Here is a 21,058-nt window from a genome sequence, read left to right as displayed (position 1 = left end):
AGATGACGAGTTAGTGGGTGCAGCGCACCAGCATGGCACATGTATACATATGTAACTAACCTGCACATTGTGCACATGTACCCTAAAACTTAAAGTATAATAATAATTAAAAAAAAGAAAGCATTTCTCTATACTTCCATTGTCATAAGAGAAAGTAAATTATCAATAAAAGCCTCTATTGTATGAATTCTTTCTCTAGATAAAAGAATTTCTGCACACATGGAAAAATGAACGCTGCAGCTCTAAAATTGATTCAGCTAACTGCATTGGGCATTAATCTCTACATGATGAAATAAAAGGTGACAAACACATACAGAAGCAAAAACGAAGCTCTGTCAATACCATAATTACCAATCCTGGAAAAATAAAAAGTATATTTAAAAGGGCCTCTTCCAAGTTATTACACAATAGGTAGACTTATCTGTAGGAGTCTGAGAAAAATATTTGAAGTTAGATTATTCTTTAATCAATCAAGAGTCAGAAAGACTTTTTTCCCCATAAGCAGATAAAAACCATTTTACATAAAAATTTACTTGTTATTCAGTAGTGACACCACTGAAGAAATTGTTTTTAAAATTATACTTTTTAGAAAGGTTCAAATATTGTCGCTTAAAAAGTTCTGTGATTAAACCTTCATTTCAATATAGTGTTTAGTGTCTCTTAAATAATTTGTTTTAATTTTTCTTGTGATAATTTACATTAAAATTATGAGTTTCTTATTGAATTTCAAACTGATCTTTTTACTTGATATTTGAAATATGTGAATAGAATTTTATAACTGAAATATATTAAATATTGAGCCTCATGAATTCTTTTCTATGAATTGTAAACACGTTTAAATATTTAGGTATCATGTGAGATGAACACTAGAATACCAGTGTGGTGGTCGGTTAGTCCTAGGACTGCAATCTATCTCTATGGTTATACAATGATAATAACATTAATACACTTGGCTGCTGGCTCCTGTGTATGTCATGGGGCTCTTATGCCCTGGAGCCCACACCACTTCCTGGGAATTAGGTTGATCTCCCAGGTTCCCTCCCATCCTAGGCACGGCTTGGGGGCCATCTGTTGGGTTTGTTGTACCAGCGCTGAAGGACGCCTATGACTGCAGAGATTCAATGCCACAATTTGTAAGGCTACACTGATCATCTGAAGGCTGGCAACTGGGCAGGAGAGTGGGAGCTTGACAGTCTGGTTTAGGCTTTACTTTATGGTGAAACACAGACAACCGTTTTGTGTTGGTAAGGCTTAGGAAGCACTGGTGAGATGATCCCAATATGGAAGTTGACATGGTTTGGCTGTGCCCACACCCAAATCTCATCCTGAATTCCCACGTGTTGTGGGAGGGACCTGGTAGGAGGTAATTTAATCATGGGGGCAGGTCTTTCTCATGCTGTTCTCGTGATAGTGAATAAGTCTCATGAGATCTGATGGTTTCATAAGGGGGAGTTTCCTGCACGAGCTGTCTTTTTGCCTGCTGCCATCCATGAAAGACGTGACTTGTGCCTCCTTGCCTTCCACTATGATTGTGAGGCCTCCCCAGCCACGGGGAACTGAGTCTGTTAAACCTCTTTTTCTTTCCAGTCTTGGCTATGTCTTTATCAGCAGTGTGAAAACTGACTAATACAGAAGTGATGAAGGATGACAGGAGCCAAGACACTCATTCCTCATACTCTCCCTGATGTAATTCTCGGTGGCATTGCTGGGGTTTTACATAAAAGGATCGTACCTGGTCATTATGGAGAAAGAAGCTAAGGAAATAGGAGAAACCCAGCATGGTCTCACGATGCATGCCATTGTGCAGGTCATTCTTCAGGAGTTTCTCCTCCAGGACCACATGATACCGGAGGACGTCCTCCTCCTGGATCACACACAGAATTGGAAGTCAGTCAAGAGATCAGCCTGACAGTTACCCAGCTTCTCCCATGTGCTGTCACTGTGGAGATTACAAAGAGGAACAACAGCTTGTCCAAGTGGAAGTTTTGACAGAGGTATTAAGACACAATATTCAATATGAAAGTGAGTTGTGAAACAGATGGCTTCAGAGAACTTACAAATTTTCCAGATAGCACAGTCAAGAACTCATTAGAGGATTCTAAAACCCAGACTGAAGATATGAGAGCTGGGGGTAGATTTTAAAGGTGATAATTCTTTGGGCAGAACTACTGAGAAGTTAGAGTCCCCACACCCCAGCCTGCCTTTCACCTCTGGGGCACGAGAGGAGCTTCACTAGGATGCTCCAAGGACCTTGATCTGTGTCTCGTGGAGATAGGGTGGCATGTTGGATGGGGTCTGACCAAGGCAGGGACTGCTGGTGAGCTGCCTCTTGGTGAAGTGAGGAGGGTTGTTGCTGCGTGGGACCGATTTGCACTTGCATAGTTGGCTTGGGACAAGAATGTGGGTGTTTGCTGTGGCTCAGACATGGGGAGTGTCTGAGAGAGCCTATGTCAGCCTGGATGGGCAGGCTCCCCGGGGCAGAGCTAGGGGTGGGCTCTGTGGTTTTAGGGTCCTTCCTGCCCTCTTCCACCCCTCTTAACCTTCTTACCCTCTTGATGTCTCTTCCCAACCACTAACCCTTCTTACCCCGCTACTTCAAACCTAGTGAAACCAAAATGGAATTTAGTGAGATCAGAAAGGGAAGAGAAACATCCTGTGGGGAAGGAGAGGAGAAGGTTCCTAAGTGATTGCCTGTCAGCTCCAAATCCACCTCCTACACTCTGCTTGATGATGCTGGGGCTGAGGCTGTTTCCCACATTTCTCCTTTGCAAGGGGCTCCCTATTAGGGTCTGCCAATGAGAAGCTCTAGACAGTCAGAGGGCTGGAGGGGAAAGAGGAACTCAGTCCTTCCTGTTCTCTCCCTGTTCCTATTGGCATCACCCAGCCTCACTTCTCTTCCCTGCAGTGGCACCTGAATCTGGTTGGCAGTTTCCCGTCACTCGCAGAGCCAGCTTAATCCTGCCCTCTCCGCTCATAAGACACCAGCCAGGCAATGCCTGCTCCTGGAGGTCTGGGTCTCAGACCCACAGAGACCCTCGCCACTCATCCAAGCTCAAAGACACCAGCACCAGCTGAATAGTGACCCCTTCTCAGAGGCTCTAGGTTTATACATTTTAGAAATTCCAACCTCCTCCCATTGTTCTCCTAGCTTTAGGGGTCATAAGTGAATCCTGTGATTGCTACCATTGTGATATTTCTTTCTCACTTTAACCTTTCATTTATACAGCTTTATATCCAATAAACAATTCATTCTATCAAATTCTCAGTTTATGTAATTGGTATGTTTTCCATCTCCTGTGGACCTTGATTCAAGGACCGAGATGTTTTCTGCACCAAGCTCTGCTGTGGAGCAGGGAGGGAGGAAGAACTAGTTTTAAATCCAATTCAAAGTGTTAATTATTGTAAGGAATTGGATTCTTTATTTTTACTTAGCTGAGACTGAGTTTGTGACTTAAAGTACATTTGTCTCCAAGGTGATTATAGGACTTTTTGGGAAGGCAGAGAGGCTATGGGACTGTCTGAAGTTTCATTCTGTGGCAGAAAAATAACATTTCTCACTGAAGAGGTTAAAGAAATGGGTTGGGTTAGAGGGCAGGGAAAAGACAAGGTAGAAGATTTCCAGTTCCATCCCAGGAGTGCAACATGCCTGTTACAGGAGTTTAGGACACTCTCCCTGCCTTCAGAGCTTATAATCTAGTTGGAGAGCTAAGACTTGCTTCTTTGAGAAGACAGTTCATCCTATTGGGGATACATAATAAATGCTGAAAGGGGGTACACATGGTGTGAATTCAGAGGCGGGAGAGAGCAGCTCACCTCAGGTGGCCAGGGCCAGCTTCCCTGAGGAGGTGGGACTGGACATGATGAGTGGATAGGGATAATTTAGGAGGTGGTGAGGAAGAAGAGCAGCCTTCCTTATTTCCTTATTAAATAAGAAAAATCCCTATTTGCTGAAAATTCAAACACCGTTTTCAGTTCAATCGTGTCATTTCACTTTTCCATCAAAACCTTCTCGTCCATAGCCACATACTTAATACAGCCTCACACAGAGACTCTCCCATATACAATCCTCCCCCATAGCAGAGCTGCTGTGTGTTTTATGCATACCCCTGGAATTACACACTTGAGCTCATAGGAACAAGCATGCAGGTGTCCCAGGAAGCTGGAAGAATCCTCATGATCACCCCTCCTCTCCTCCCCCCGTCCCTGGCCTTTCCTTGGTTCCAGTAGCTAAGATGTCAGCAGCAGGGACCTAGAGGGGTGGATTATCTCTTTCTTCCTCCTCTTCTCCCCTTCTCTATTTTCCCTGATTCCTAACATCTAGGGGTAAATAGTCAAAGTTTGTCAAAGGATTTTGTGAATTAATTCAAAAGCTTCAATCATGCCACGATCTGACTTAAAACTCTTTTGTGGATCCTGTTTCTTACAGGACTAAGTCCAAATGACCTCTCCAGGTATTTAAGACTACCATAAGCTGATCATAATTTATCCGATATTCAGTAGTGGCTCCAGAATTTTTATACGGGAAGGGCCCAGGGCCACCCCACCCCAACCCCACATGAGAAGACACATTTGAAGCTGGATTTGCACGGCAAGCACACTGTTTTCACTTCCATGTTTATATTGGGTGGCTGAGATGAGGATGTTAATAAGATGGGGGTGGCACTGAAAGCCCCGAGAAGCCACCCCTGAGCCCACTCTTTTCTCCCACCACTGCTCTGGAGAAACCATGTGGTTTCTCCATGTGGTTTCATCACTCGGGCTAGAACCAGAGTGATGGTTCTATAGATAGATCCTAAACAGGCCAAGCACCTGTGGGTTTGGGCTTCCTTTGTTCATATTTACATATACACACCAACACCACACCCTTAATGCACCACACCTGCATCCTTGTGTATACAGGCTCAAGTGTGCAATTCCAGGGGCATGTGAGTAGCATCCAGCAGCTCTGACCGAGGGGATGTTTGTGTATGAGAGAGTCTCTGCACCAGTCTACGTCAAGTATGTGGCTATGGACAAGGATGAAGGAGTGAAATGGCACACAACTAATGGATTACAAACACTGAGTGTTTGAATTTTCACAAAATAACTTCCCTAGTTATAGTTCTTGACACTTACTAGAGACAAGACTTTCTTCTCCCTGATGTAATTCTCGATGGCATTGTTGTTTGGAGCAAACACTGTGTAGGCATCGGCAGCCTCAATTGCATTCGCCAGATTATATTGCTGCGATGGAAAGAGACAAGAGTGCATGAGGGATTCCTGTTCCTGGGTAACCTGAGCATGGTGGTCAGGCAGAGAATGTGGTACTTGCAATGATGTAGCCCCGGAAGATGGAATAGTCAGGCATCTGTTCCAGCCGCATGAGCAGGTTTGGTAAGGAGCCAGTTAGACGTCTTTGTGGGACCAGCACCTGAAAAAAGAAACCCCAGAATCCTGTTAGCATGTTTTGGTAGGACCTACTGCTTTTCGATACATAGGAGAGTCTAATGCCATTAACCTCTTTAGACAGTTCAATGGATTGACATTGACAACCTTTTGAAGATTACTCACAGTATAAAAATATTCCAGGATACAGCATGACAAGGCTGGAGCAGAGTTGGAGATGTTAGTCATTCAATTTTATGCCTTACCGTTAAACCTCCTTGATTAGAGAAAAGTTCTTCTTGCACGAAAGACTTTCAGCTTCTCCTAAGTAATTAATTCCAGCTCGCATTAATCTACCTTGTCAGAGAAGACCTTAGACCAAATCGAGGTGAAACACAGCAGGTTGCAGCTAATATCTAATCCTTTCTTCTTGGTTGTTATTCGTGTGTTTATTCTTTAGGTTCTCCATTTATTTTCTCTGAAGTCTCAAATCTACTGCAACCCAGTGGCCTGAATCTGGCTTGTAAAAATGTTTTGTTTGGCTTGTGCTATGTAATAATAGGACATTTTTACATATAAATTTAGATTGCCTTTAAAAAAAATCAGTCTGAATTTCTGCAGACACACAGCTGCAGAGAGTAGCAGCAGCCACTTTCATTATAGGCTCCACCACTCCCTAATGTCTTCTACTTGGGACATACTCCTTACTCATTTTGTTATCCATCTGATCTATCTGGGCATTTGAGTTTGCAAGCTCTGCATAATTAACCTTCTGGCCAAGATCACTATTTTCACCTTTGCATTCTACCTAGAACTTTGTCAGATTGAAGAATTCAACACTGGAATGTTTTTCTAATCTAATCAGTATTTTTCCAACATTTATTGCTTGCCTACTACAGGCCAGGCAGTGGGTATACAAGTGTGACTGAGGTCTGGGTTCTGCCCTAAATGAGCTCACAGCATACTACAGTAGAAAGCCCAATCCAGTCTGCTGCTTGTACTTAAAAATAAAATTTTGTTGGAATACAGCCATGCAAATTTGTTTACATATTGTCTAAGTCTGTTTTTGCACTACGGTGGCAGAGTTGAACAGCTATGATGGAGACCATGTGACCTGCAAAGTCTAATAATTGTATCTGGCTTTTTCCAGAAACGTTGTACCAACCCCTGTGTTGGAGGAAGACAGACACATTTCTGAGTTGTTGGAGCTGAAGGGGGAGGAGGGGCTTAAGGTGATTAGACGGGATTTGGCAGATTCAAGAGCTATGAGGAGAAGGCCTGATAGAACTTGATGGTTCTATGTCTATGTCACATAACAATAGGCAGTGATGAGGGCCACTGAAAATCAAGAAAAAGACACTCCTTTCTCTAGGAGTTTGCAACCCCAAACAGGGGTGCACAGCATGGGGAGTGAAGTGGGCTGGGATTTAGCTAGCCTCCACTCTGGCCAGGCACCTTTATGCAGGGCACAATGGTGGCCCTGACAAAGATGCCCTTGATGCCAATTGACAGATAGAGAAGGAGCTCCTTAGGGAGCGCCTGCAGCCCAGAGGCTACACAGATAACTGAATCAATTAACAGCCATCTTGTACTTTTTTTTTTTTTTTAGTAGAGAGGGGGCTTCACCATGTTGGCCAGGATGGTTTCGATCTCTTGACCTTGTGATCCGCCCGCCTCGGCCTCCCAAAGTGCTGGAATTACAAGAGTGAGCCACCGTGCCCAACTGAGAACAATTTTAATTAAAACACAATTAATTGTTATTTTTTTCTGATCTTCCATCTTACAAAAGTTCCCAATGTACCCTAAATTCCAACTTGCAACTTTCATTTTAAATGAAGATCCTAATATGGTAACTGAAAATTGCAGGGTAGCTTACAATCCCATTTCTCATTATTCTTTTTTTCCTATGTCATACCTTTGTTATACTGGGTATTAGAAGAAAATAAAAATGTCACCATGCTTTTTATATTCTTTTCCACTTTTTTCCTTAGGGCCTTCCCTACCTCATCTTTTTAGGATGCATTAATGCAGATAGGAGAGTGGAAAAATGATATGTAATCACATGCCTCTCCCTCCAGTTCTTGATTATATCCCATCTGGTTGTACAGACTTCACAGTGCCAGGGTGCTTAAGCTCAAGTGTGTTTTTTTTTTGTTTTTGTGAGACAGTCTCGCTCTGTTGCCCAGGCTGGAGTGCAGTGGCTTGAACACAGCTCATTGCAGTCTTGACCTCCTGGGCTCAAGTGATCCTCCTGCCTCAGCCTTCCTAGTAGCTGGGACCACATAGGTGCATGCTTTTTTTTTTGGTAGAGAGAGGATCTCATTATGTTGCCCAGACTGGTCTTGAACTCCTGGGCTCAAGCAATCCTCCTACCTCAGACTCCCAAAATGCTAGGATTATAGGCGTGAGCCACAGCACCTGGCCTCAAGTGTCTTTTGAGATGTTTCCATAAACAAGAAAGATAATATATGTGACCACACTTGATAAAGGGCCCATTGCAGAATACAGGCTGGATAAATGGAAACTGAGTCTCATTGAATCAATAGACTCTCTTGATGGTTTTAAAATAAAAGTCATGAGGCACAGTACCGGTTACTTCCATATAAGGCTAAGTATTTTTCTATTTAAAAAAAAAAATGCTGTATAGGACGATAAACAACAAAGGGAAAAGAGATGCTGCACGCACAGGAGAATGGAATCTTGTACCTTGTTGATGATGTGTATCACTCCATTTGTGGCTGCGTTGTCCCCATCGACAATGGAGGCCCCTTCAATTGTGATATTCTGTAAATGCAAACCACAGTGGGAAGATGAGTCTTTATAGAGCGCACCTTGGGATTGAGATGATCTCTGGGGTTTCTGCTTTTTGAGCAGCAGTGACCTTCATACTTTTGGGCCAAGACCCACAGTAAGAAATACCTTTAACTTGTTGTCCCATAGACCCCTCTCTCTCTCTCTCTCACACACGTGCACGTGCACACGCACACACACACACACAGAGACAGAGAGAGAGAGAGAGAAAGAAAAAGAGAAAGAGAAAGAAAGAAATAATACTTTCCCCTATGTGGGAGGTACTGTGATCATCAAGTCTATTCTATTCCATGCTATTTCATTGACAAAAGTGCTGTTCGAGGCTCATTAAAGTGACCCTGTGGTTTGACCCTGGAGACAGAACTGTGGGTTGAGCTGTGTCCCCCCCTGCCCCCACAATTTGTATACTGAAATCCTAACCCCTAGTACCTCAGATGATGACTTTACAGACAGGGTCTTCACAGAGATGATCAAGTTAAAGTGAGGTCCTTAGGGTGGACCCTAATCCAATTTGACTGGTGTTCTCACAAGAAGCAGGAATTTGTACAGAGACAGCTACACTCAGAGACTGCCATGTGAACATGAAGATGCCATCTACAACCCAAGGAGAGAGGCCAAAGACAGGCCCTTCCCTCAAAGCCTTAGAAGGAACCAATCCTGCCCACATCTTGATCTTGGACTTCTGGCCTTCAGAACTGTGAGAAAATAAATGCCTGTTGTTTAAGCCTCCCAGTCTGTGGTACATTGTTATGGTAGTGTTGGCAAACTAATACAGATGGTAATTGACTTTCCTGATCAGAATCCAACTACTTTTTGAGGCTATGAATTGCATAAGAAATGGGGCTAAGTAAAATCCAACCCACCCACCCACCCACTCAGCCACCAATCAACACCAACTGGACTCTACTCTTTCTGGTTTCCTCTCCTCTTCTCCCCAGTTGAAATCCCTTCTGGAAACCCTGGTCTTGTCTCACTCTGAGCAACTCCCAAGTCACATCTGCAGAGGACCTGAAGAAAACCCTCCTGGCAGGAGATATTTATATAGGACATAGGAATGAACTCATTACAAATGTGTCTTTAATGGTTAGCTCCTCTAGGTCAAGGGCCTTGATTGATTTACCTCTGAATCTGTAGGGCCTGGGATATGCCTGCCCAGATGGGTGTTTAGTTAATGCTTGCTAAGATAATCAATGATTTAAAACACCAATAAATTAGCATGACTGTAGGAATCACCTTACAATGTATTTGTATATCAAAACATCATATTGTACACTTTAAATACATACAATTTTAATTTAAAACCTGATGGAAAATAACTTCAATGTCACCAGAATTATCATAAGATATTAAAAAGCCATAGGACCACTGTTTTCTGCTTTCTAAAAGAAAATATCTGATGAGTCACATATATGTAGGTATTACTACGCATAGATCTTTTTCATAGTGCTCACACTGATGAGTGGGAGGGTAGAAATGTTTTAGGGCAGTAATTCTCAAACATTTTTGACTGTAGCCCATGGTTCATGGATGTAGCAGTTCTCATTTTGCAGTGGAATCTTCATTCTCATCTTGTGCAATTCACAGGAAGAGCTCTGAAACACTGCCCGTGCAGCAGGGCGGCCAGACTCCCTCACAGAATTCTGAATCTGAGTCTTTGACACACTGTAGAAAGTGCCAGATGATAAGCTTCTCTAGGGCTGGGTTCTTCCTTGGGCATTGCCCTATCTCCAGCACCTAGATCTGTGCCTGGTACATAGTAGTAGGTGCTCAATAGTTGTTGGTTGATTAACTCTACCTTAATATAAAATTTCATTTCTCTAATAAAGATTTAATTCTATAAAGATTGAGTATATATAGACTCAACTCTATAAAGATTCAATTTCATTTCTCTATACAGATTCAATTACTAATAACCAGGTCTTAATCAACTATACGTCAAAAGAAAAGTTGTGGAATTGCACATCCTTTACCCTTTCTGGGTTAGTCTGTGGTCTGTTGCAAGACTTGTGGCCAATCAGTGGGCAGAAGGCCACATTTTAGAGGATCACTGCTATAGGGTAACGTGTATATGTGTATGTATTGATATATGATGATAATTATTGCAGCTGGGTGATGCCCACATGAGGGATTCTGTTCTCTGTAGTTTTGCGCATGTTTGGAAGTTCCCATAACATGAAAATTTAAAAAGTACAATATAAACAAAGCTGTTATGTTTCAAGTAAACAGACAAATTCCAGAGCTCTTACCCCATCCACCTTTGCCAAGTGAAGGAAGTTGCCCTGCAAAGATGTTGCCAACATGTCAGAAGAAGACAGGGTCTGCAGATCTGCCACTCTGTATGTGCCTAGTAGCATATGGTACCTGAAACAATAGTCCACAAAGGCTATAATTCAATATAAATGTATGGGGCTGTATCATTGAATAGTTAAGAGAATAGGCTCTGGAGCCAGATTGCCATAGTCAAAATTCAAGTTCCCCCTGCAGTTACCAGCCTTGGCTAGAGTTAGTTACTCAACCACGCTGTGCTTTGGTTTCCATATCTGTAAAATGGGAATCATTACAATATCTATCATAGGGTTGTTGAGAGAATTAACTGGGTTATATGTAAAAGAGTGCTTGGCAGAGTTGGCTGTCAGCAATTGTTGACTATTACTATCCTGGGGTGGGAGGAAAGGAGAATCCTAGAACATGTTCAGCTCCACGAATTTGAAGGACCATGTGGTTTTCCTACATTGAACTTCAAAGACATGTTTACACAGATGCCATTCAGATACGATGTAAAATAAAATAAGTAACACCTACTTTATTAGGGCTGGAATATTGCTCTGTGACAACCAGAAGCTTTTCTCATCCTGGTCCATGTCCTCAGTAGCTTGTTGGGAAGGCACGAGGACAGTGAGGTTTGAGGTGGCTGACAGTGTGGGTTGTAGAGAAGCATTCTGAACCACAGAAGGAAAATAAAGTGACCTGCTTATGTTAGGGGACAAACAGAGCTGCCTTAAATGCTTGGAAGAGATGACAATTTCCCATAAGATACTGGAAGGGTCCTAGGGTCTCCTTTCCCAAATCCACCCCACCCACTGGCTGTTGCCTCATTTTCCCTTGTGAGACTCACTTAATTCAATGTATGAGTCTTATCAAAGCAAATCTGCCTTTGATAATGAGATCACACTTTCAGTCATTATAAGTCCTTTACACTTTAGTCTAAATGAAGAGCCAAGAAATAGCCTTAATAGGTTCTTGTGAGTATGTGTGTGTGCAGAGAACCTTGAGCATTCATTTTTTTTTTTCTTTTTTTTTTTGAGATGGAGTCTCACTCTGTCACCCAAGCTGGAGTGCAGTGGTGTGATCTCAGCTCACTGCAACCTCCGCCTCCCAGGTTCAAGCAATTCTTCTGTCTCTGCCTCCTGAGTAGCTGGAATTACAGGCACACACCACCATGCCTGGCTAATTTTTGTACTTGTAGCAGAGACGGGGTTTCACGATGTTGGCCAGGCTAGTCTTGAACGCCTAACCTCACCTGATCCACCCACCTCAGCCTCCCAAAGTGCTGGGATTACAGGCATGAGCCACTGCGCCCAGCCACCTTGAGTATTCTTGGACGTCTTTGAAGTAAGGATGGTGGGGAGACTGCAGGAACAGTTTCAGCATGGGAGAAAGTAGAGGGCTGAAATAAAACCTTACATAAATTTCATTCTTGCCTAGAGAGCCAGTTTTTGGTAGAAGCAGTGGCATGTTTAACAACTGGATCTCCAGGAAAAAGAAAAAAAAAAACCAAAAGACTTGGTTTGTAGTATTTACTGATTTCTATGGCGTAAATACTCCCACCAGGGCTGATTTCAAGATACCAAAATGACTGTACCGAAAGTGGAGTTAGGAAAAATGTGCACAATCAGCTTTCGTGAGTGAGTGTGAACAGGGTTCAGCACACCACTGGGCCAGCTCATGCCTGTGGGGTGAGACCAAGAATGAAGAGTCTAGATGAAAGTCAGCATGCTCAAGAGAGCACGCTCAGTCTCTTCTTTCACCTATGCTGGGATGGGGGGTTCAGAGAGGCCCCATACAGAAGCAACAGGAAGCTGTCCTGGGGTGGGTGCTGACCAGGCATGGACTATTTGGCATGTGTCTATTTTAAGGGGATAAACCATTTGTTGCAATGGCTGGCTGGGCTTGGCAGCTCTTGTTGAGCTGAGAGTTAAGCACATATGAAGTATGTCAGATTGCAGCTATAAATCCCAAATCGAACTTGGTGAATTACAATGATGAGTCATGTTAACTTACAAAAAAGAATCCTGTGATGAATGAAGCCCCCTTTCTGGCCCCGACACACTGATGCTCAGAGCAAACCTCTGATCAATCACATCAGAGTCTTCAGGGGTGGGACCTATGCAGGAATATTTTTTAAAAATGTGTTCCATGTGGTTCCACAGTGCAGCCAGCGTTGAGAAACACTGCTCAGCACAATTGCCTACACTCCTTACCAGCTGCATTTTCGGTTTTCTATTGTATGCATTCCAAGTTTCTAAAATATATACATTCCCAATCCTAAGTCCCAATAAAGGTACTCACATTTATCCATCGGTTAAATATAGCTGCTTCGGAGAGAAATGACAATTCCTTATTCATATCATGCAAGGGAGGGAAGAAGAGATGGGAGAGAACACAGAGAAAGAACAATGAGAAGTGCAATCACAGTGCATCTCTGGGTCACCTGCACTCAGCCTTCCTGGGGCTAGGCTCGTTGTCCTGGCCTGCCTCCCTGATGCTGATGTGAATGCGTGCTCCAGCTAGCTGCATTTCCATGCTGACAGAACCGCACATTTCTTTCACACTAAGGTGGCTTGGTTATTCTCTATGGAAGTAATTCCAGGAACTTCGAATGAAGCAACAACTCAAGGTTCTTCCAAATCAGAATTTAGGCTGTAAGAACGCGGCTACCTAGACGCTAAGTGGGGGTCACAGAGCTCAGCAAATAGCCCCCTTTCAGAGCCGTTGGTGAGTAGTGGCTCAGAACAATGGAAGCAAACCACATGGGTTTTCATGTTGGTTCTGCCATTTCCTAGTTCCCTAGGCCAGTTACCTAAAGGACCTCAATTTTCTTATCTGTAAAATGGGCATAATAAAAGCTCCAACTCACAGTTTGATAAGAGAAATAGGAGTTGTTTTTAAAGTGATTAGAGGCTGGCATGCAGTAATTTCAGTAAGTTTTAGCCCCTATTATCTTTAATTTACCCATATGGCTCTCTCTATATATAGAGCCACCCCAGTTGGTACTGGGGTGGGGTGAAGGGAAGCTATAAGATATGAAAGAGGATGTAAGATATTGAAGGGAAAAGATGGCCCTGGCTCCTCTATGACTTACAGTTGTTTAGGGGAAGTTCGGCCTTGAAAAGATAACCAATATTGCTGGCAGAGCAGTGACATTTGAAGGCGTTATAGTTTTTTTTTTTTAATGTCTCTAAACACAGAGTTATTAAAAAAGACTGGGTTCACTTCTTGGATCTGCCATTTACCAGCTGTGTGATCTTGGGCAAGTCACTTAACCTCTGAGAACTCAAGTGCTTTATCTGAAAATGAATATGGTGAAACCTTGCTCCAGGGATTATGAAAATTAAGTGCATTAATATATGTGAAAATATTTTTTAAACTACTGAATACCAGAAAAATGGCAATATCATGATCCTATGCAAATTTACATGAATACAATAAGTCTCAGTGCTGACTCAATTCCATCTAGTAGTTGAGGTTATTAAGCAAGTCAATAAGCACATGTTAAAAAAGTAAGTTAGCAAGAAAGTGAATAAACACAAGAGCAGAGATGCCTGAGTAATCCCTTAGAGGGGACATTTTAAGGGAGAGGAGGGCTGAGGTGCACCTGATCTGCTGGTGGGAAGGCCAGAGTTGGGGAGGAGAGAGAGGAACATGGCAGACCTGGAGCTGGGGAGGTGGCGGCTAAACTGCAGCGGAAAGCTGTTTAGAAGAAAAACAAGTGGGCTGGGCATGGTGGCTCAGGCCTGCCATCCCAGCACTTTCAGAGGCCGAGGTATGTGAATCACTTGGAGTTTGAGGTATCTCACATGGCGAGACCCTGTCTCTATAAAAAATACAAAAATTAGCTGAGTGTGGTGACACATTCTTGTAGTCCCAGCTACTTGGGAGGCTGAGACAGGAGGATCACCTGAACCTGGGGAGGTCAAGGCTGCAGTGAGCCATAATCATGCCACTGTACCTCAGCCTGGGCAACAGAGTGAGATCTTGTCTCAAGAAAAAGACCAAAAACAAGAGTGAAGTCTGTGTGGAGATACCTGGAGAGCCAAGCTGAGGACTTAATTTTGCTTTTCGTGGGAGGAGAGGGACGTCGTGAAAGCAGGATTTTAGAATTTTAGGAAACCAGGGTCTGTAGCTAGTGCAGAGAAAATGTTGTGATTTATGTGCCATGGTCTGCATGTCAGGAGACAGCTCCTTGGCCTGACTCGGTGAGTAGAAGGCACAGTTGACAGTGAGAGGGGAAGGGTGGAAAGGGCCCCCCAAGGGCAAGGTTCTTAGGGCGAGACTCTTAGTGCAGGCTGCGGGTCCTGGGAATTGTTAGGCTCGTGATTTCAGCAGAGAGGAGGGGCAGGAACTCAACAGCAGGGAGTTGAATAAAAAGTAAGTGATGAGGAAATTTGTCAATTGACTTTCTCATTTTGACAAATATTTATAAGCAATAGGACTGACGTAGGAAACAAGACAAAGATCATCTTTCAAGAGTTTATGGTTGTAGAGGGACAAATATCACAAGTTCTCACTGATATGCAAGAGCTAAAAACATGGATCTCATGAAGACAGAGAGTGGATTCGTGGCTACCAGAGACCAGGAAGGGAAGGGGAGGGAGGGGATGAAAAGAAAATAAAGAATATAAATGTATTTATTACTGCTGAACTATATACATAGAAATGGTAAAGATGGTAAATTATATATGTATATTTTACCTCAATAAATTAAAAAAAAGTTTATGGTCAAAATAGAAAAATGTAGGAGCAATGCTGATTTAGTGTGGCCCATGCTGTACAGATAGAATGTTCTACACTGGTGGTTAAATATTTGGGCTCTGCACTTGACAGCTATCAGAGCTATCAGCTGGATTCCTCACTCTGGAGCTGAAGGGTGTTGGGCAAGTTTTGCTAAGCCTCTCAGTTTACCTGCCTGTAAAATGGGCATAATAGTAGCAGAAGGTTGTTGAGATTTAGATGGAGTGCTACTGCCTGGTAAGGACTGAGCAAGACGCCTGGCATAAAGAAGTGTGTACACACACACACACATGCGCGCACGCACACACACACGCACGCGCACACACACACACACACACACACACACACACAGCATGGGTAAGCAAAGGGTAGCCCAGACAGGAGAGCCCAGTGAACCCAGCAGAGGCCAGTTAGTTGCTCTTTAGGAAGTCTGAGAATGGAAACAGGTAGAGTATCAAGAAAGAGAAGTAAGGACTGCTTGGTACACAGAAGCTGCCAAAAAGCCAGCTGCCTTCAGCCTGTAGAAAACGTGACCCACAGAGCATGTATGTCATCTGTGAGAAACAGCTTGCTTCATGTAAAATCTCCTGCAGCAAAAGATATGTCAATAGATCACTTTAAAGGCATCTTAGCTAAGAGGTTTTTAAAGGGTTTTGTCTATATTATTGAGTTCATCATCGATGACTTACCACTGCTGCGTTTCCATAGCACAGAAAGCCATCTCCTTCATAGCCCTCTTGACAAACACAGCTCCAGACACCAGACGAAGTAGATTGACAGCTTGCCTGAGAAAACCAAGATGAAAGAAATGGTTACCCCAACAAAAACGTTAGACCTGAGTTACATCTATGAGACGACAGGCTCCATCTAAGGTGATAACTGCAAATTTGGGGCTGAAAGATGGTAGAAGTAACCCATAGACCCTTTAGTGTTGCAGTGAAAGTCTCCTGTCTGCATGTTTGATGCAGCTATTAATCACGATTATTTATTCTCATCCCTGCCAGATTTAGCAAATAAAAAAATACAGGATGCACAGTTAAATGAGAGTTTCAGATAAATGAGTAAGTTTGAGTATACGTTTGCCCATGCAATATTTGGGGCATACTTGTGCTGAAAGATTTTTCAACACATACTTGTGCATCTGAAATTCACATTCAATTGGGTATCCTGCATTTTATCTGGCAATCATATGTTGGTTCTTCCAAGCTTTGCAATGGAATGAAACTTGCAATAGCTACTCACATCTGGAATGTCAGGGCTTGGTTGGGCTTAAATCAAGCAGAAGTGTGAGAGCTCCTTCAGCTTTGCAAAATGTTCTTGAGATTCTTGAGTAACAGACACCTTGGGGGCATCTCCCTCCTCATTTTTCTTCTATCAGAGAATTAGTCCCCCACGCCCCACCCTGCACATGTACTAGGGGTGGGCCCTGGCAGCTATGTTCATAACAACCCCACTTCTTGGCCACAATTGACGGACTCATATGTAGACACCTGCACCCAGTTGGGCCAGTTAGATCCTTTCCTCTATGATTTTGAACGGGGACATGGGGTGCTAATAAATTAGAGGGCATCACTGATGGTGGGGGAACCGTTTACCTCAAGATGTACACAGAAGCACTACAAGTTCGGGGAATGAGACAGAGGCAGAGAGAAAGAAAATGCACAGAGGGAAGTCAAACGAGAGGTCACATTGTCTCAGAGGACTGGGGAAAGAAACTGCTTAGATTCTGGTGATCCTGCTCTCTTCATGTCCTGGTTCTGGGCTCTTGGGAAGTCTAGCTATACTTCCTGCCTCTAGATTCCCAGAGCTACCCTGGGGGTCCTCCCAGCAAATTTATCTTCTGCATGGACTCTGTTACCTGGAACTCCAAACACTGTGATTAAGGCATCAGACTTCATTGATTCCTATGTTTGGTGCTTAGCGTTCTTTTGAAAGCATAACCACCCCCAGCCCTAATACCTGTGCCTGATCTTTCAAAGTTGAGAAGCAAGGCACCATTTACCCTTGAATGGGCATTTTCACCGATAACTTGTAAAACTCTGTTGTGACATTCGAAATGGAAGTCCGGTTACCTCTTAAACTATCCTTTAAACTGTTGGTTTAGAGGTGCCAGGTTTAGCAAATAAAAATATTGAATGACTTGTTAAATTTCAATTTTAGGTGAAAAATGAGTAATTATAAGTTTATCCCACACCATATTTGGGACTTACTTGTGCTTAAAGATTGTTTGTTACTTACTTCAAAATTAAATTTAACCAGAACTTCTGTATTTTACCTGGAAGTCATATGTTGGTTCTTCCAAGCTTTGGAATGAAGTAGAAGTTGCAATAACTACTCGCATTCTGCTTAGAGATTCCCTTTTGGGGGTAAGAGATTTTGTTCATCACTAGGCCAGACAGGAAATAATCTTTCTTTCTCAAGCATTGTTTTTTTTTTTTTTTTAAGTAATGAAAAACAAGGTTAAATAACTCACCAATGGATGACATTTCCCGGTTTGTTCCAAGCATGAAGTTATTGGTTCACAGTCAATCCCATTTCCTCGAAATCCTTTCTTGCACTCACACTCATTCTATAATTTTAAGAACAGAGTCAAGTGGATTATTGAAAGCAAGTGCCTTCCATGTCTTTCCCTCACACAGCACTGAGAAACGTACTATGGAAACTGAAGCTGCTTGGCTGTCCCAGAGAACAGTGTTAATGCCTTTTGCTTGATACACTTCAGATTCTAGAGTTATTAGTCTCCATATTCTACATTACATTTTCCAATATGATAGTTTCTTGGTACTCTCTTCCTGAATTTATTTATATATTTATTTATCTTTTTTTGAGATGGAGTCTCACTCTGTCGCCCAGGATGGAGTGCAATAGCATGATCTTGGCTCACTGCAACTTCTGCCTCCCAGGTTCAAGCGATTCTCCTGCCTCAGCCTCCTGAGTAGTTGGGATTACAGGCACGTGCCACCACGCCTGGCTAATTTTTGTATTTTTAGTACAGACGGGGTTTCACCATGTTGGTCAGGCTGGTCTCAAACTCCTGACCTTGTGATACGCCTGCCTCGGCCTCCCAAAGTGCTAGGATTACAGGCATGAGCCACCACGCCCAGCCTCTTCCTGAATTCTTTACTCCAGAGGGTCCTATGGAGATAGTCTCAGAGAGAACTTGGGCCCTAAAAAGCATCATATTGGATGGCCCTTCTACCTAATGAGAAAGGTTAAGCAAGCTGTGGGGTATCCACTTGGTGGAGATGCATGCATGAGGCCATTGCTAGCCTGTAAGGCACTTTGTTCAATTTAGAAACATTTGGCTCCAGCACGGTTTGTCTTTTTAAAGCAGCATTCCTCGTAATTAAGGTTTGTGTCCATTTGGAAAGTCTAAAAGTTTCCAAGCCAACTAGTCCCAGCTGAGGGCAATCCTAGACAGGAGGGCAGTCTCGATCCTCCCCTGGCCTGATTTCTGTAATTGTGCACAAGGGCTGATGGGAGCATCAGAAAACGAGGATGGATGTGGACACACTCAATCTGAGTCAATGAAAGAGAATGAATCCTGGGTTTTTGATCCATTCTGTTTCTTATAGAACACCACAAAGAGACCCCCCTCTTTTCCCATCTTCCCATCTTCCCATCAGGATGTTTTTCAAGTTTGTCTACAGAAAGGAGGACAGAGCAGAGAGGAGACAGATACTGTAAGAGGAGACAGATACTGTAATAGGTTGAACTGCGTCCCCTTATTCCCAAATTCATTTGTTGAAGTCCTGACCTCCAGTACCTCAGAATGCAACCTTATTTGGAAATAGGGTTGATACGATATAATTAGTTAAGATGAGGTCATACTGGAGTAGGGTGGGCCTTGAATCCAGTAAGACCAGTATCCTTATATTAATAAAAAGGGGGCTTTGGGAGGCCAAGGCGAGCAGATCATGAGGTGAAGACATCGAGACCATCCTGCCAATGCAGAGAAACCCCGTCTCTACTAAAAATACAAAAATTAGCTGGGTGTGGTGGCACACACCTGTAGTCCCAGCTACTTGGGAGGCTGAGGCAGGAGAATCGCTTGAACCCGGGAGGTGGAGGTTGTAGTGAGCCGAGATCGCACCATTGCACTCCAGCCTGGCAACAGAGCGAGACTCTGTCTCAAAAAAAAAAAAAAAAAAAAAAAAAAAGTAGGGGGGAATTTGGAGACAGATACACCCACAGGGAGAACAACATCTGAACGTGAAGGCAGAGATCAGGGTGATGTGTCCACAAGCCAAGAAACACCAAGGATTTTCAGCAAAGCACCTGAAATTAGGAGAGAGGCATGGAACAGCTTCTTCACAGCTCTCAGATGGAAACAACCCTGATGACACCTTGATCTCAGACCTCCAGCCTCTACAACTGTGAAACAATACATTTTTGTTGTTCTATGCCACCTAGTTTGTGGCACTTTGTATGGCAGCCCCAGAAAGCTAATACAGACACCAAGTCATTTTTTTTTTCCTTTTCTCAAGTGCAATCTGCCAACTCAAGTGCGTCAAAAATGAATGCAATTATTTACTGAGTGCTTGGCAAGACATAAGACTGCAGTGAGCTTTTTCACAATTAAGACTCCTGGAGCCACATTTTAAAGCTAATTTTCTCCAGACCCATGAGCAGGCTCTGCTGTCAGAGAAATCAAAAAGATAAATAGGAAAGCAGCCCTCAGACGCTGTGGAACAACCAGACCATGGGACTTACCCTATGTGGCTTTTACAACATTTATCACTTTAGCGTTATACATAGGTTTGTCTGTCGCCTCGCACAAGATCGCATTTCTTCAAGTCTGGCTGAGGGCCCTGGCCACGGTAATCTCTTATCCTCACCACTGAGCTTAGTGGCTGAGTGGGTGTAGGCACTTGAGAAGTGTTGGATGAATGAGCAAATGAATAGATAAGGGAACATCTGTTTCATTTTGTCTGGCTAGCATCTGTTCTCTCACTTTCTGGAAACTACACGCCATTTGGCTCTGGGGACACCATCACTCCCCCTCTCCTAGTCCACATGATAAAATGTGGCTGATTCCTCCACCCCAGGGTGAGGTGCAGGGCCTTGGCCTGTGCTTATCACTGCATCTTCCACCCTGGGCCTCCCCAGCCTGATTTCTGTAATTGTGCACAAGGGCTGATGGGAGTGGTAGGAAATGAGGATGGGTGTGGATGCACTCAATCTGAGTCAATGAAAGAATGAATCCTGGCTTTTTGGAGGAAGTTACCAGATAATGTACTCCATTCTGCTTAAGAGTTGCAATGGTATAAATTGGAAGTGGCCGGAGGTCATCCCTCACCCCAGGAACCTGGGAAGAAGCTGAGCCAAGAAACAGACCCTTTATGCTGCCTTCTGAGCCCTGAATCATGTTGTACCAGCAGCTAGATCCATATATGGCCTTTAGAGTCATGTGGGCCAAAACATTCTCTTTTCTTTTTAAACCAGTTTTTTTTTCTTCTTAAGAATTGAAGTAAATATATGTATGAGAAAATGTATCATTTTAACCATTTAAAAATGTATAGTTAAGGGGCATTAAATACATTCACATTCGTGTACAACCATCATTACCATCCTTCTCCAAACTTGTTTTCATCTTCCCAGACTGAAACTCCAGACCCGTTACACAATAACTCCTCGTTCCTCTCCCTACTCTAGCTCCCGGCAGCCACCATTCTCCTTTCTGTCTCTATGAACCTGACTATTCTAGGAACCTCAGAGCAGTGGAATCACACAGTATTTGTCCTTCTGTCTCTGGCTTATTTCACTTAGCAACACAGCTTCAAGGTTCACCCATGTTGCAGCATGTGTCAGCATTTTCTTCCTTTTTAAGGCTGATTGCTATTCCATTGTATACATATACCACGTTTTGATT

The 21,058-nt window shown here is 43.2% G+C and overlaps 1 protein-coding gene across 8 annotated transcripts in view; it reads right to left on the bottom strand.

The window, feature by feature from the left end:
- Positions 1-21,058, bottom strand: part of STAB2 (stabilin 2) — a 179,447-nt gene that overhangs the window by 65,760 nt on the left and 92,629 nt on the right. For all 8 annotated transcript variants that reach the window (XR_007063104.1, NM_017564.10, XM_011538537.3 and 5 more), the window contains 9 exons: positions 17,660-17,755; positions 15,876-15,971; positions 12,745-12,792; positions 10,978-11,114; positions 10,422-10,536; positions 8,071-8,148; positions 5,312-5,410; positions 5,116-5,223; positions 1,733-1,864 (listed from right to left, as the gene is read on the bottom strand). Coding sequence is in view for 7 of the 8 variants with exons in the window: in NM_017564.10 (NP_060034.9) it covers positions 1,733-1,864; positions 5,116-5,223; positions 5,312-5,410; positions 8,071-8,148; positions 10,422-10,536; positions 10,978-11,114; positions 12,745-12,792; positions 15,876-15,971; positions 17,660-17,755 (909 nt within the window). In the remaining variant the exon portion in view is untranslated. The remainder of the gene's footprint in view (positions 1-1,732; positions 1,865-5,115; positions 5,224-5,311; positions 5,411-8,070; positions 8,149-10,421; positions 10,537-10,977; positions 11,115-12,744; positions 12,793-15,875; positions 15,972-17,659; positions 17,756-21,058) is intronic.

The sequence above is a fragment of the Homo sapiens genome, chromosome 12 (genome assembly GCF_000001405.40).
Source record: "Homo sapiens chromosome 12, GRCh38.p14 Primary Assembly".
Lineage (NCBI taxonomy): Eukaryota > Metazoa > Chordata > Mammalia > Primates > Hominidae > Homo > Homo sapiens.
This window is presented reverse-complemented; position numbering and strand designations above follow the sequence as displayed.